The sequence below is a fragment of the Homo sapiens genome, chromosome 2 (assembly GCF_000001405.40).
Source record: "Homo sapiens chromosome 2, GRCh38.p14 Primary Assembly".
NCBI lineage: Eukaryota > Metazoa > Chordata > Mammalia > Primates > Hominidae > Homo > Homo sapiens.
Genome location: NC_000002.12, coordinates 170,001,215 through 170,017,010, shown reverse-complemented (window position 1 = coordinate 170,017,010; position 15,796 = coordinate 170,001,215). Strand labels below are relative to the sequence as shown.

Sequence of the window (15,796 nt, the reverse complement as noted above, 5' to 3'; positions counted from 1 at the left end):
ATATGACTTACAGGCTGCTTTTATTAATATTAGGATAAATAAGTAACTGAACAATAATAAATTATACAAAAACTAAGAAATATTAACTTACATTTAGGATAAACTTTATCATGACTTTTTCTATATTGGCACAGTATAATTTCTGATTTAGTAAAGGGAAAAATAATGAAGCAAAAGTCTGAAAGTATAAATTTAACAATTTAAATTACAAAATTGACTCTGGTAATTAAAGTGATTACCACTAGAATTTTATTACTATTTTCAGGAATCTGGATAAATTCATTATTTACAAGCCTCTAGATAAGTTTAAGTGCCTCAGAGAAAAAAATAAGTAGATTTTTAAAAACAGAAAACCCTTCGCTAAAGTAAACACTTTGTAACACAACAGTTTCTGGAATATTATCAGCCAATGCCAAACATCAATTAATAACAAATTAACAAGAAGGAATAATTTATATAACTAAAATGATTATTATATCTATTAATTCAAACAGATTAGAAACTAAAACTCCCATGTATCAACAACTTCCTTTGAAACATACTAGTAAAGCACTGAATAGAAATAGGGTTTAGATGAATGCATAAAGGGGTCAATTTTTACTAATACTCGGTTAAAAAATAAAAATAATAACCTCCAAAATTTTAAGTTCTAGGAATAAAGTGACAATCCAAAAGAAAATATCAAATTCTACTGCAATTTATAAGACTTTAAAGATAACCAAGTTAAAATTTCACATAAGTTTGCTTTTATGTTAGAAATTTTAAAGTGCTTTTGATCATCCCTTTGCTTTGGAATCAATTCAAAATTACATATTTTTTGAAATAACATATATTTTGTTAAAAAACCAACATGTATTGATAATTTTTAATACTTACTATTTTTTAGTATTTGAGAATATATATTCATTTTTCAAAAGAATATATTATGTGTTTTAAACAAGTTTTATTTCCTACACCAATCACATTAGGTAATATTTCAACTTCAGTGATCTGGGGCAAATAATCAGCTATATGCTGATATTCAATAATATTATTCCTACTATGCACATTAATTCTCTAAACAATGACTAAAAAATGATAGCATCAAAGCCATGCTCATGAAAAATCTACTTTAAATTACAAATTACACTTCTCTCAAATATATCCTTACACACAAGATTGAAGAATTATTCTCATTTTATAACATAAAGTATATATATAAATAAAAGCAAACGTGCAATTTCAATACATTTTAATATACACATCAAAATATAGCACAAATATCTTAATAGCAATAATATAATAGAAATCTGTGGGTAACATATATTGTCTTTATAAAAATATTTTCTTAATTCAATGTAAAAATTCTTTAAGAGAATTAAAGTTTAAGAACAATTTTTTATAGCTGAGAATCATACAGTGCTTTAATTTTGAAACCTCGTCACTTAGCATCACATTTATGTGCTAGGTAATCATAATCTAGAAAGAGCTAAATATCCATATGATTCTTCCAAGTACAAGATTAGCCATTTAAAGTATATATCACTATCTAAATAGATCATATATAACAGACAAAATTTGAAATATACCAAAATGTCACTTTTCCTGTCAATGCTTCCAAAAATGACAGAATTTTTTTTAAATTTAGCAGTATTTAGTACTTACTTAAACAAGACCTTTTGCCAGCTGTGCTTGCACCACCTGAACACAAATTGCCTCCTCGATGAATCAATTCAAGTTCTAAATTGGTTCTGTAAGTAAAACATTATATCTCAGTCATTAAACTGAAGATTCTTTATTAATCTGCTTTATTGACATGTCTGAATCAACCTAAAAAATAAAGTTCTTCAACTTTATTTTTTGCAAAAGCAGTTTTTATGTTGTATCAGTAATAATCATATTTATCTGATATTTAGAAATACAAAGGGAACAATTTATCCATCCTTACTTATATGTTCATATTTACACCTGCAAAAAATTGCACACATCATGGTGTAATTGTTGCAAAGTCCCAACTCTTGGCACATACTAAAAACTAGGCCTTAAGAAAAAAAAAAAAACTGCAACATATTTCATAAACCTGCATATGAATATGAAGAAAGAATTTTTACTCCAACGTCAGCCACTGTGTAGGTGGTTATTGCCATATAAAACACAAAGGCATACCAATTTTTCTATCAGAGAAATGGTTATCATTCATTGGAGGTTAGATGGTATCTGGAAATCAATATTAAGAAACAAAATCACTAATATAGAAATGGCTATGAACAACACATATAATTTAACAGCAGTCTCTCTTACGGACTTCTAAAACTAGTTTCATTAAAATACACTGTGTAACTACTGATATGGCTAACCATCAATACTGTTCATACAGACCTGAAATTGCAAGGTATTTAGCAATTATTAGCTTACAAAATAGCAATATTTAATAAATCAACATTTCAAAAATCAAACTAATGCAGAATCTAAGGATTTACCCAAAAACAGTAACAGTAAAAGAACCAATTAATTATGCCAAAATAAATGACAACTCTGAGAAATAATTTAAATTGTATTTTTCTTCAACAGTATGAATACACTTAGACATACCTTTATTTTCTACAACCAAAACTGACCCTAATATGCATTTGACCCTAATAGTGAGATACTGTCTCCCACTTAAAAAAAAAAAAAAGAAAAAAAAACAGTTTCAAGCTTACTCTTTGCAAGTGAATTCATGAAAGACTATTATCCTATTTTATTTAAAACAAAACATTTTGCACTGATTTGGCTGAATTTTGAACATGGACTTTTTTGGAGATTATATTTCCATGTATTTACTTATAAATGCAAATTGTTAAAGAATATTAATATTCCTAAGTCTGTACATTTGCCACCCATTTCTAAAGGAATGCTTTAATCCTCTCTACTCAGGGTGGGAGAAAAAGCAATTTAACACCGATAACGTTCCAGCTCAGAGCTCCATCTGGTTGCTGCTGATAAGGGCATCTGTGTGACAAGGGAATTTTCCACCCTTCAGGCGATTTGCATTGCTCACTGAACTTCTAAAAACCTACCAGCAAGGAAGCAGGGACAAGGATTTCATACTAGTGGACAGAAAGCGAGCGGAGACCAGCATGTGTTCCTTCATCAAGGGAATATAAATGAGATCAATACATTTTGTTTTCACAAATCTTCTGTTGCCTAATCTGTAGAAAAAAATTAATGGCTATATTCTCTTATAAAAACTAAGATTTCCTAGATAGTACTTTTAAGAGAGCTAACCAGAAACACAAACAATACTTACAAATGAATGTCAAAACCAGAATGTCAACATTTCACCATATTTGCAAAAATATTTATTAAAATATAAATATAAGAACAATTCTGTTTTCTCAATCCCCAAATATAACGGATGACAAACATATTACTAAGAATTTCATTGTAAAGAATTCTCGAAAAAAACTAGTAAAATCTAATTAATTATTCCAGATTATGACTGGAAGATCTCCTATGCAATATTCTTTCTGAATTAAAAATCAAAAACTACCTATCCAAAGGATTAATGTGTAATAATATCTAGGATTTTACATTTCTTAAAAATTTTTTTTGAGAGATGAAGTCTTGCTGTGTTGCCCAGGTTGCACTTGAACTCCTGTGCTCAAGCAATCCTCCTGCCTCAGCCTCCCAAGTATCCAGGAATAGGCGCACACCACTGTATCCAGCAATATCTAGGATTTTAAAAATCAATATGGCTCTAAATACCAACTTTTCTTTGTTTCATATATGTCAAAATTGGTCCTTTGAGACATGCTAAAGAACACACAAATGGGTCATATGTCCCATGTCCGACTGCTGAAAATCACACAGCAATATTATGTTTCTTTCCTCCTCAATGAATGATGCAAAAATAAAGATATGCTGGGAGTGGAAGTTTTCCGAGCTTTTTGCTGTCAAAGAAAAGCAGACTCTTTTCTATATTTTCTAACACAAATACATTCAAATTAGTTTGGAAGAAAAAAAAGAGGCGAAAATCTCTACATTTGAAAGAATGATGAGAAAGACTGTTTAAAGCCTACCCTAGTGGCCACCTAGATGTGCACATTAAAAACCCCTCTAACTATGCTCCAGCTTCTTTTTGCATGACCAAAGTATGCTGTCCTCTCAATCCCCCCATTCAACACTAACTTCTATTTTAGACTATAATTTGAAAAGCAAACGTGTGTACACACACTACACACCCCACATTCTCAAACACACGTTGGTTTGGTGAAAAGGGCAAAGCTTCTGGAAAGAGATCTAGGTTCAAGGCCTGAGTCTACCACTCAGTAGTTGAGCAAGTTACTCAATTTCTCAGGGGGAAAAAAAAAAAAAAACCAGTATCTTCATCCATACCACAGCCTATATTATACAAGAGGCAATTCAACTTTTAACTTCTCCAGGAAGCTTTCCTGGGACAGAAAGAAGGACTTACACATATTTTATATTTCAATTTGCTCATCTTCCCTTTAGAAGTTCTACAGTGCTTTCTCTATATGATATTTTTAAAAACAAATTATATTCTGTTATATAGATTGATGTTATATTAGTTCCATCTCTCCAACTAAACTGTAAATTCATGGAGAACAGGGACTATTTCAAATATAGCTTCTAAATCCCCAGGGTACCTGATAAGATGCTTAAAAAGAAAAAAAATGGGAACTGACAACATCTTTCTTTTGATATGTAACCAATTATAAGATTCTCTTTAGCCCTTGCAGTTTATTTTCTTTCTTTTCCTAACTCTTCCATTCCCTTAAACCCAGTATTGACCCCACCAAGCCCCAAAAAAGGATTGTTTTAGGAAAGAATTTTTTGTTTTTTTAAAAAGATTCATAATTTGGTATTTAGCAAGCGTCCCTTTTATTTTGAACATGATTAGTTTACAAAGTAACCTATGAAGGTACATTCACTCTATTGAGTACCCACCATTTAAAGATGTCTCTCCACCTACATTGCAGTTACTTATGTTTCATTTTCTTTCCATTTTTCTCTATACAAACCACCTGCTACTCACCAGTATCTCTAGACTATATGAAACTTGAGTCCAAAAATCCTTGGAAAAATCAGTTACTGAAATTCATGTCATTCATTGTTTCAAGAACAAAATAATGATTGGTATTGAAAAAAGAAAACCTTCTTCCCCCCAATTTGGTTTCCATTATCTGTATAGATGACTGACATGTGTAATAAAATGAAAATTTTGGAAATATATTGAAACTTGAATGTAATGATTTTGATTAATTTTTAGATCATTTTAAATTTGAATGGATTTTCCAACAGTTTCTTCTCTGATACCCTCAGAAAATTCTCCAAGGCTTCACCATGCAAATAAAATTTAAAACCAAAAGACATGTACTGTCTTACAAAAAAAAAAAAAAAAAGAAAAGCTGTAAAACTCACCAGAAATACTTTGTTTCTAAATATCCAAAATTCAAACCCTCTGAAGAGCAAACAAAATTACTTATTCAGCAGGGAGAAATCCAGCTCTAAGAAATGAGGGTTGTATTCCACTCACGTTACTAATACTAAATACAAATAAATGTGCAAGTTCTAATGAATTATACATTTAAAAATCACTACATTTAATTCAAAACTTAATTCAAAGTAAGTTTATTGCTAAATATTCTACTTAAATATTTAAATATTGCTAAATATTTTAATGTTCACCTTTTAGGAATGTTATATGTTATGCATAAATAAGTTATATGTTATGCATAAAAGGCCTGGTTTCCTGTTTTGAGAAAATTACAATGTATTTAAATACAACATACTTTTTTCCTTCAATATATGTTGTTAATTTCTGAGTCAATTTGTTTATCTTATTTTTTATTTCTTTAGACAGGGTTTTGCTCTGTTGCCCAAGCTGAAGTGCAGTCGCTCAATCACAGCTCACTATAGCCTTGACCTCTCATTTCTTGTAGCTCAAGGGATCCTCCCATCTCAGCCTCCCAAGTAGCTGGGACTACAGATGTGTGCCACCAAACCTAGCTAATTTTTTTTTATTTTTCATAGAGATAGGGTTTTACTATGTTGTCCAGGCGGGTCTCAAACTCCTGGTCTCAAGCAATCCTCCTGCCTTGGTCTCTCAAGTTCTGAGATTATGGTGTGAGCCACCATGCCCAGCCTTTGTTTTCTTTGTAATGACTAAGTAAAACTTAGAGAAGGAATGCCGCCTCACTGGAAGAGCTTTGCAATATTTTGGGGAATTCCAAGCAAAAGATAATAAAGTTTTAAAGTGTTATATACACTCATTTTCAGAATTATTGTTTTGCTGCTTTAGAATTTATTAAGTTTCAGAAAAGGATGGGGGAAGTATATTTTCTCTGTTTCTCCGTTTACACCTTAGTAAAGCATTCGACATCTGTCCCTGCTTCTCTAAAAAATAGAGAAACCAAAATGTCTTGATCCAGAAGGTCTCCCACTATCACTGCAAGCTTTTTTCTGTAAGTTACTTACAAACTTAAACCAAGAAATAAGGATCTAAAACTTCCACTAAATTATATTTAAATCAAATTGTTTGATTTATCATACTACAGGAAAATTCCAATGACAGATTATTCCCATTCAATAAAGATTTTCTTAAAAGGTCAACTCTAATAAAATTAAAGGCATAAATAAATGAGCAACATAAATGTGTGTAGGTCTGTGATTGTGTATAAATATGTATAACAGAACTGAGTTGATCCATATTCAACCCAATCGTCTACAATGTTATAATCACAATATCATATGGAAGTTCTGTAAAACCTTGGCACCCTGGCAAAGTTAAATTATATTGTTTTGTTTTCACATAGTGTCTTTTATTGCAAGAATGTAGTAACTAGTAACTCTCCAGAAACAAAATACTAAATGTTATGTCTTCCCCAAAAACATTCTAGATAAACAAGAGGCTAGGAATATATAGACTACAAAGTTACTTTCCAATCCATTAAATCCTTTTACATCAACCCATGTCCAGTATTTGCATTCTCAGACCAACTAATGTTCCTTATCTTGAGCTCTAATTTGCTTGCTGCAATTATTCTAAATCTGGTTCCATTTCTCCTGGGTTCCAAAGGCTATGTATAGTTCATTTACTCTTTTGTTACCCTCTGTTCCAGGAGTGGACCAGAGAGAATAGCCATGATCAACTATATACATAATAGAACCTATAAAAGCTAAACATAGGAGAGGAAAAAGGAAGATAGCAATTGAAAAAAACAGTAAACCTTGACTCAAGAGATCCTACTCTGCCACAGACTTGCTGTATTGACCTCAAGTCACATTACCTCTCTAAATCTTACCTATTACAATACTACTTAGATAAAATATAAAGTATGCTTCCAAAGATATTCAAGGATGTACAGAGTCAGTTTTGGCAGAATGCATTTACAAGTTCTTAGTTGTGTCTGTTTTTCCTCTATTTACTGCTTTTATGGTTCTGCATTTTCACTCAAGTTTTCCAAAATTCCTATTTAGAACTACTGCTTCTGTATTGCATACAATTAGACTAATCCTTCCTAATCTGAAAGATGAGAAACATTCACTTCTAACAGCTTTCTTGAGCCCCTTACTCACTACAAATTGAGGTTTAGAACATGCCTGATCCCTTGCTTCCTCTCCCTTATCTGATTCTTCTAAACTCCTGTCTTTTAGGTTATCACTAGATCTTTTCGGTTTCTATTTAAAACAAAGTTCTTCTATTTCTTACTGTTCTTATTTTTCCATAAATCAAAGTGTTTAACATATTACAACGTTTTAGTTCTCAGTATTATCACTTTTTGACAGGTCTCATAGATAATACTCACATGTTCGAGGTACATATCTGCCCCAAAATGTTAGTAACATACTTTCCCCCATGTACTATAATGTTTAGTAACATTTATGCAAATATTTCATTAAAATAAAACCTCTTCAGGAAATAAAGCTGCACAGTTATAGTTATCCTAGCAGGCACTAAAACTAGCCATAATTTCAACTGATATTAAAAATATGCATCCTTTAAATAAATAAAACAAATATTTATTAAATAATAAAATCAACTATTAATAGTAAGTAAACTAAAAAGTATACACTATATATACCTACCTAGCAACAGAGTACATAAAGAGAAAATCATTGTCTGGTGAGCCCGGGGTCTTGCTATAGTCTCTATATTTCTTCTGAGTGGTATTTTTTATATCTTTCATTACAGATTCCATTTCTTTACTTAAATTTGTTTCTGACTATAAAAAAATGCAAACATACATATAAAGTTTATATTCACTTTCTTTAATAATGGTCTGAAACTAGAATGTTTATTATATGAACATAGTAGGAAATTAAAATTAAAAAGTCAAAACAGAACATTATCTATTATAAATATATTTAGTGTACAAAGTTAAACCAATCAAAAAATACTCTCTAAACAGTGATCTTTTATTCTAATTCTACATTGTGACTGGTAACACTGTAATCCAACTATGAATTAACCACATAAATTATGCTAAGCCAATGAGATGATGGTATTAAAATAATATGTTAGAACAAAGTTTCCATGTCTATAAAAAACCTGACTTTCATTTAAGTTCATTTTTCAAAGAATAATATCAATGTCCCGTAAGTTTAAGCATATTTTAAACACATAAGAATTTGGATTTATAAAATTTTAAAAAGACCACAAATTCTAAAATTAGTCTTCGCTTGAGAAAGGGAATTGCCAGATGAATCTATCTAGGTTTAAAGTATGCATTTCTGTTTCAAAAGTCAAATATTCACAATTTTCACAAATTTACTACATAAACCAGACACAGCTGTCACTTCTCTCAGAGACCATATCACAAATCTATAATGAAGGTGAAATTTTTTTTTATGAAGGTGAAATATTTTAAGAATTTAGACCAAACAAATCCTACTGGATGGGATAAAAGATGAGTTCCCCCCTACAGTAGTCTGACTTGTGATGAACAGTTCAATCAATTACACAATATTTTATCTCTCGAATACACATACACACAGTAAATACATGTGCATGTCTGTGTAAATATATCTTCTTAATCCTAATATACCTAATGGGCATATTTTTAAGTGATTAAATTGTGTTTTATATTGAGATACATACACACACACACACACACAGAGTATATATAGCTTGTTTTTTAAATAATTCAACATCTTTTTTATTTTGAGAGGGAGTCTCGCTCTGCTGCCTAGACTGGAGTGGAGTGGCACGATCCCAGCTCCCTGCAACCTCCGGCTCCTGGGTTTAAGCAATTCTCCTGCCTCAGCCTCCCGTGTAGCTGGGATTACATGTGTGTGCCACTGTGCCCGGCCAATTTTTGTATTTTTAGTAGAGATGCGGTTTTGCCATGTTGGTCAGGCTGGTTTCAAACTCCTGACCTTAAGTGATCTGTCTGTCTCAGCGCCACCACGCCTGGCTAATTTTTGTATTTTTAGTAGAGACGGGGTTTTGCCATGTTGGCCAGGCTGGTCTCAAACTCCTGACCTTAAGTTATCTGTCCACCTCAGCCTCCCAAAGTGCTGGGATTACAGGTGTGAGCCACCGTGCCTGGCCTATTTGAACATCTTAAAAGAGGCTAACTCCATCTAAACCTATAGGGGTTCTTGACCTAGAAGACGTATATTAAAACTCAGAATTTAGCCTAAAGAGAAGTATAGCCTTTGATAATAATTTGTTCTATTACTTTTATTTAAGTATAAATAGAAGAGAACAAAACCTCTAAAAGCAATTTCTACTAAATATGTAAAAGTCCAGAGTAATTTATAAACTGAATTAAAATGAAAGCAGAAAATCAGAGCTGAGTTAACCAGGATATTTATGCCTTACACTGATGCTTACTGGGAAAGCTCCCGGTCGTCCCTGCAGCTCCTCCACTTCCTTTATGAGATCTTGTATGCTTTTGTTGCTAGGACGTTGCCAAGGGTTATTTTCCACATTGCTTCCAGGATAACATGGAAGAACACTGTTAGCAAACTGCCTACAGAGTGGACACGTGAATTCTCCTTTGTCCACCGAGAAGCCCTGAAGAACCTGGTCATTCTAAAAGACGAAATAAACATACAGATGCGTGATATACACATTCATAGAAAACAAAAATTATACCACCCATTTTATAGTAAATTAATAAACCATAGAAAAAAGACATCTCTAATATATGTCATAAAGAAATAAACAAAATCCTTCATTTAACTGTTAAAGTTCACCAAATCACTTCTTACATCATAGCAATTACGTAACACTTGCCCTCACCAATACACTGTTTAAGTATCTTACTCTTCTCTCAATATGAAACTTTCAAGTGATGGTGCAATTAATCTGAAATGTGGATTTAAGATAAAGAATAATTCAAAAAACAGGCCACATTAAAGTGGGTTGCCCTCCTCTTACCCCATACCCCTGTTTTCATAATCTGTAACTGACTACTGGGAAGATTATCCCAATGCTCATGTTCTTTGATCTAGGATAAATAGCTTTTAAGAGTAAATAAGCCTCAAAAAAAGTGACTTCTAAGGGGTCTAACTGCTAAATACAACTGATTGGACAACTGAGTTAGTGCTCATTTCATTATATCTTGCATCTCAAGTACTTTGACTAAGAGAACTATGAATTCTATTTTTCACTTTTTGACATTAACTTTTTAAGTCCTTAAAAATGTAACAACATATCTTCCTAAATCCAATTCTACAAACATTTACTAAGCTCCTACTATGTGATAAATGCTGTGCAAGGTGATAGCATAAAGAGTTAAGATACATTTTTCCTTCTTAAGGTACTCACGATTTAAAAGCAAAATCAGGCAAATAAATTTAGTGTGATAAATGCCACAACAGAGAAGCCTTTCCAGAGAAGAAGATTTGTGAGCTAAGTTTTAAAAATACACAAAAAAGTGTGCTAAAAAATTGGGGCAAGGGTCCTGGTCACAGAAGAACATTCTGTGATAAGCTTCTTGACAGCCTTAATTCCAAAGAATGCTAGATACTCTTTTTTGCTGTAACTGAAGCTGGGTTCTCTCCTGAAGCACCCCCAGAAACCCTCTCAACTCACCCTCCTACATCTCTCACATCTCAGCACCCTCTGGTGCTGGCCCCAGATCATTACTCCTGCATTCCCTTGTCTTTGTGGCTCATGTCATTTAGCAATACTATCCTTTTCCTTCCTTTTCACTGCCACCTACTGCCTGCAACCACTGAAGACTTTGGTACCTCGATATGTTTTCCTCATCACTCCAAGTCCTGCATCTTCCTATGCAGTTTCACTATATATGTATACAACCAATCTTATACCTTAGTCCTTCAGCTCCTTAACCTCATCAGCTCCTATAGTTTTGGCCTCCACTCTACTCCAGCACCTGTTACCATAACAACATCCTTGTCCTGTAATAACTCAAAATTACTCGTGATCTGAAAATATTAAATTTAAACATCTTATATTCTGACTACCAACTTCCACCTCCTTTACTCCCTTCTTTTTCTCCCAGTTCATCAGGTTTTTCTTATCCTATCTGCACACCATTGTCTACCACTTCAAAAACTCATGGCAACATTTCCCACTCGCCCTCTATGTGTCCTTTCATCATTCACACCAAACAAAGCCTTCATATTAAATTAATCCAATGTATGCCGTCTCCAATTCTGCACTCAAACTGAGTGTTGTCAGAGAAAAATAAAATGCCTTCTTGCTACAAACTGTTTCCAACCTCAACTTTGTCCTTGAATACTGCCTGGCACTCTTTCTCTACATCCTAGGAAGCACTCTCTCATCCAATCCCAAAGTGGTTTTCCCGGTTTTTTTGTTTTGTTTTGTTTGAGACGGAGCCTTGCTCTATTGCCCAGACTGGAGTGCAGTGGCGCGATCTCAGCTGACTGCAAACTCCGCCTCCAGGGTTCATGCCATTCTCCTGCCTCAGCCTCCTGAGTAGCTGGGACTACAGGCACCCGCCACAGCGCCCGGCTAATTTTTGTGTATTTTTGGTAGAGACGGGGTTTCACTGTGTTAGCCAGGATGGTCTCGATCTCCTGACCTCGTGATCCATCCGCCTCGGCCTCCCAAAGTGCTGGGATTACAGGCATGAGCCACCATGCCCAGCCTTGTTCTCTTTCTTTTTGTTTGTTTGTTTTGAGATGGAGTTTTGCTTTTGTTGCCCAGGCTGGAGTGCAATAGCACAATCTCAGTTCACTGCAACCTCCACCTCCCGGGTTTAAGCAATTCTCCTGCCTCAGCCTCCCGAGTAGGTGGGATTACAGGCACTCGCCACCACACCCAGCTAATTTTTGTGTTTTTAGTATAGATGGGGTTTCGCCATGTTGGCCAGGCTGGTCTCGAACTCCTGACCTCAGGTGATCCACCCACCTCAGCCTCCCAAAGTGCTGAAATTATAGGCATGAGCCACCGTACCTGGCCCCCAAAGTGGTTTTTCAAACCACCTCCTCACCTGCCAAGTCACTCACCTTCCCCACCCCTGCCCCCTTTACTCTAGGAGCATGAGGTTATACCTCATATCTCAGACAGAAGAGACTCATGGCAACTCCTTCAGCATCCTGCCCTCTCCCATCACAAATATATAATTAATTAACCCCATCAATCCTTCCAGCTACTTTCTTCTATCACCTTTACTCATCTCTCTCCTAAGTAGTCTCCCAAACATACCACTACATGACCTAATGTATCTAGTGTCTAATGTCTAATGTGAGACTTTGTTATTTCCAATCAAAATCTTTCAGTGTCATCATCACCTATCACGTTGATTCCTTCTTCCCCCTCATGCTCCAGAAGATTGTCCTTCTAAATATATTTCAAATCTATATTCTCCTCTCCATTTTCATAGACATGAGTAAGTCCAAGCCCCCACCACATTTTTTCTTACTTTTCTGCAATTCCCTTTCTCCACAACTGTCACAATGACTCTTCTGGACATTTTATATTTCTGCTTAAGAGTCTTTAATGGCTTTCTCTAAGGAATCTACATAAAGTCCAAATTCTTTAAATGGACCAGAAGGCCCCTTACAATGTAAACCTTAACTACTTATCCTGTCTAATCTCTCATCACTCAAGCACCTTACTTCATCAAAATGTTCTGGAACCTGGCAGATGGCCAGGCACAGTGGCTCACGCCTGTAATCCTAGCACTTTGGGAGGCTGAGGCGGATGGATCACGAGGTCAGGAGATCGAGACCATCCTGGCTAACATGGTGAAACCCCGTCTCTGCTAAAAATACAAAAAATTAGCCGGGCGTGGTGGCGGGCGCCTGTAGTCCCAGCCACTCGGGAGGCTGAGGCAGGAGAACGGCGTGAACCTGGAAGGCGGAGCTTGCAGTGAGCCGAGATCGCGCCACTGCACTCCAGCCTGGGCACAGAGTGAGACTCCATCTCGGAGGGGAAAAAAAAAAGACTCTGTGTATACCTAACATTTAGCATGCGTACTGTAACTGTTTGCTTGTCTCTCTTACGTAATACATAGTAAACTCATTGAGGGAAGGAACTGTGCCTTATGTACCATTGTATCCACAATGATTATCATAGTATCTGGAACACTGTAGATACTGAATAAATATTGCTGAAGGAATAGTTGAATACAGGGATATGAAAAATGCATAATGTGTTTAAGGAACTAGTAATTAGCTTATTAATGTTGAACTGATGGAAGACAACACTAAAGCAATGGGCAAGACCAGATCCTGGAGTACCTGAATGCCATTCAGAGAATAGTGAACTTTATCCTATCAGGAGGAAGACAGCAAGAGATTTTAAGCCAACAACACGTATTGTTGATTTAAATTTTAGAAAGCTCAATGTAGTAAATAAGTTACACCTGGAATAAGGAAATCAGTAAGAAAGCAATTCCTATAATCAAGATGAGTGAGGAAGGCATACACAAAAAAGTAGCAGTGGGATTAATGAAGGTAGAATATAGTCAAGTGAGATTTAGAAGGCAGAATCAATAGAATTTTGGTAAGGGACTGAAAGTGAGAGGTGAGGAATAGGAAGGAAAAAAGAGATATCTACTGCTTCTGAGTTAGGAACATGAGAATATAGTAGACCTGTATTTAAGAAGTTGCTTTTAAGAAGTTGTGCTGCTTGAACTCAGGAGCGTAAGGCTTCAGTGAGCTATGATCGAGCCACTGCACTCCATCCTGGGAAACAGAGTGAGACCCTATCTCAAAAATAAATAAATAAATAAAATAAAAGTTACACTGAAGGAGAAAGAGAAGTCTTCAGCTATAGGAAAATAAGAAAATGTAACATCCAGGGAAGGATTCTGAATGGGAGAGGTTTGAACTCAGCTCCTGATGAGCTGAGAAGGGGCAGAAGAGGCAGAAAAACTGAAAATACAGAAGAAAAAGAAGTTACCTACTGATGAATTAAGGCCCCTGAGGTGTTGGGGAGAAAGGTCTACCAGAGCTCAGGCAGAAAAGTTATTCCTGAACAGAAGAAGGGCTACAGTACTACCTCAAAGAGTAGCAAAGAAAAGACTGGCTGGGATGTTGGACTCATTTATCAGGGAACAGAAAAGCAAGATAGGAATCTAAGGGAATGTGACAACAGACGCTGTTTTCTTAATGACAAAGGAAGAGACAGAATCTGTTAAGAGGAAATGAATCTTGGGGAGGCAAAGGTTTGGAATAGCTGCTGAGGAAAATGGGAGAGGGAACTGATCAAAGACAGGTAAATGAATTAATAGGCAGTATTTATAGCCCATAACCCTAGTCTAAGCCACTGTTATAGGAAGCCACAAGTTTGTGATAATAATCATTAACCTAGTTTTATGACTTTTCAAGCTGGGATAGCTGACTGGGTCTAAAATCAAAGGAGGCTGATTAAATGAGATTGACAAGAATAGAATGGGTATAGTACAAGAAAGTGAGGATAGCAAAGAGCTAATACACTAGGAAAAAATTCAAAGGGTTAAAGGACTATAGATCTTGATGTCAGAGGCAAATCACAATAATGAGAGTGAAGACAAGAGAACTTATGTGAGAATCATAAGGTGACATGGTAGGATATTAAAGCTTAATATTTCAGAGAGAGTAGCAAAGTCTAAAGTGCAGCCATGAAAGTCAGTTGCTAAAGTGAAAAAAATTTTTCTTTCTTTTTTTTTTTTTTTTTTTTTTTTTTTTTTGAGATGGAGTCTCTCTCTGTTGCCCAGGCTGGAGTGCAGTGGTGCAACCTCAGCTCACTGCAACCTCTGCCTCACAGAGTCAAGTGATTCTCCTGCCTCAGCCTCCCAAGTAGCTGGGATTACAGGTGCACACCACCATGCTCGGCTAATTTTTGTATTTTTAGTAGAGACAGGGTTTTGCCAGGTTGGCCAGGTGGCCACGTTGGCCAGGCTGGTCTCGAACTCCTGACCTCAAGTGATCTGCCCATCTCGGCCTCCCACAGTGCTGGGATTACAGGCATGAACCACTGCGTCTGGCTAGTTGCTAAAATGAAACTGAAATTAAAAAATGAAAATCCTTGAAGTTGAACAGGTCTGTGTTAAAGTGAGACTGGATAGTTTATACGATGATCAAAATCACCTAAAAAGATGAGCTGGAATTGGGATGTATATACTATAAAAAGATTTAATACCTGGAAAGATACATGCACCTTTAAAAAATTTTTGCAATCAACTTACCCGTAATGATTCCATGTAAGATTTATGACAATCTATATGTAATGTGTGACCACAGGTTTGTACATAAACACCTCCTTCCCAGCCAATTGATACTGCCAAGAGACATGAACTCTTCAAAATAAAAAGAAGACAAATACAATTAATTTTAAAGAAGTACAAACATATTTAAATATTAGTATGTCCACATAAACCTCTGCATG

The 15,796-nt window shown here is 35.0% G+C and overlaps 1 protein-coding gene across 1 annotated transcript in view, besides 2 other annotated features; it reads right to left on the bottom strand.

Annotated features, from left to right (window-relative positions):
* Nucleotides 1-15,796, bottom strand: part of UBR3 (ubiquitin protein ligase E3 component n-recognin 3) — a 256,678-nt gene that overhangs the window by 67,121 nt on the left and 173,761 nt on the right. Inside the window, exons 27-30 of the mRNA NM_172070.4 lie at nt 15,597-15,707; nt 9,821-10,021; nt 8,071-8,207; nt 1,645-1,730 (exon numbers count right to left, since the gene is read on the bottom strand). Coding sequence (NP_742067.3) covers nt 1,645-1,730; nt 8,071-8,207; nt 9,821-10,021; nt 15,597-15,707 — 535 coding nt within the window. The remainder of the gene's footprint in view (nt 1-1,644; nt 1,731-8,070; nt 8,208-9,820; nt 10,022-15,596; nt 15,708-15,796) is intronic.
* Nucleotides 2,356-3,914: an enhancer, noted in NCBI's record as "VISTA enhancer hs1867". NCBI's record gives its function as "enhancer in: midbrain (mesencephalon)[6/8]" and the evidence as "EXISTENCE:transgenic organism evidence [ECO:0001131][PMID:17130149]".
* Nucleotides 9,738-10,032: a silencer, noted in NCBI's record as "tiled region #15130; HepG2 Repressive non-DNase unmatched - State 15:Elon". NCBI's record gives its function as "represses a minimal TATA promoter and a strong SV40 promoter by Sharpr-MPRA in HepG2 cells {active_cell/tissue: HepG2}" and the evidence as "EXISTENCE:reporter gene assay evidence [ECO:0000049][PMID:27701403]".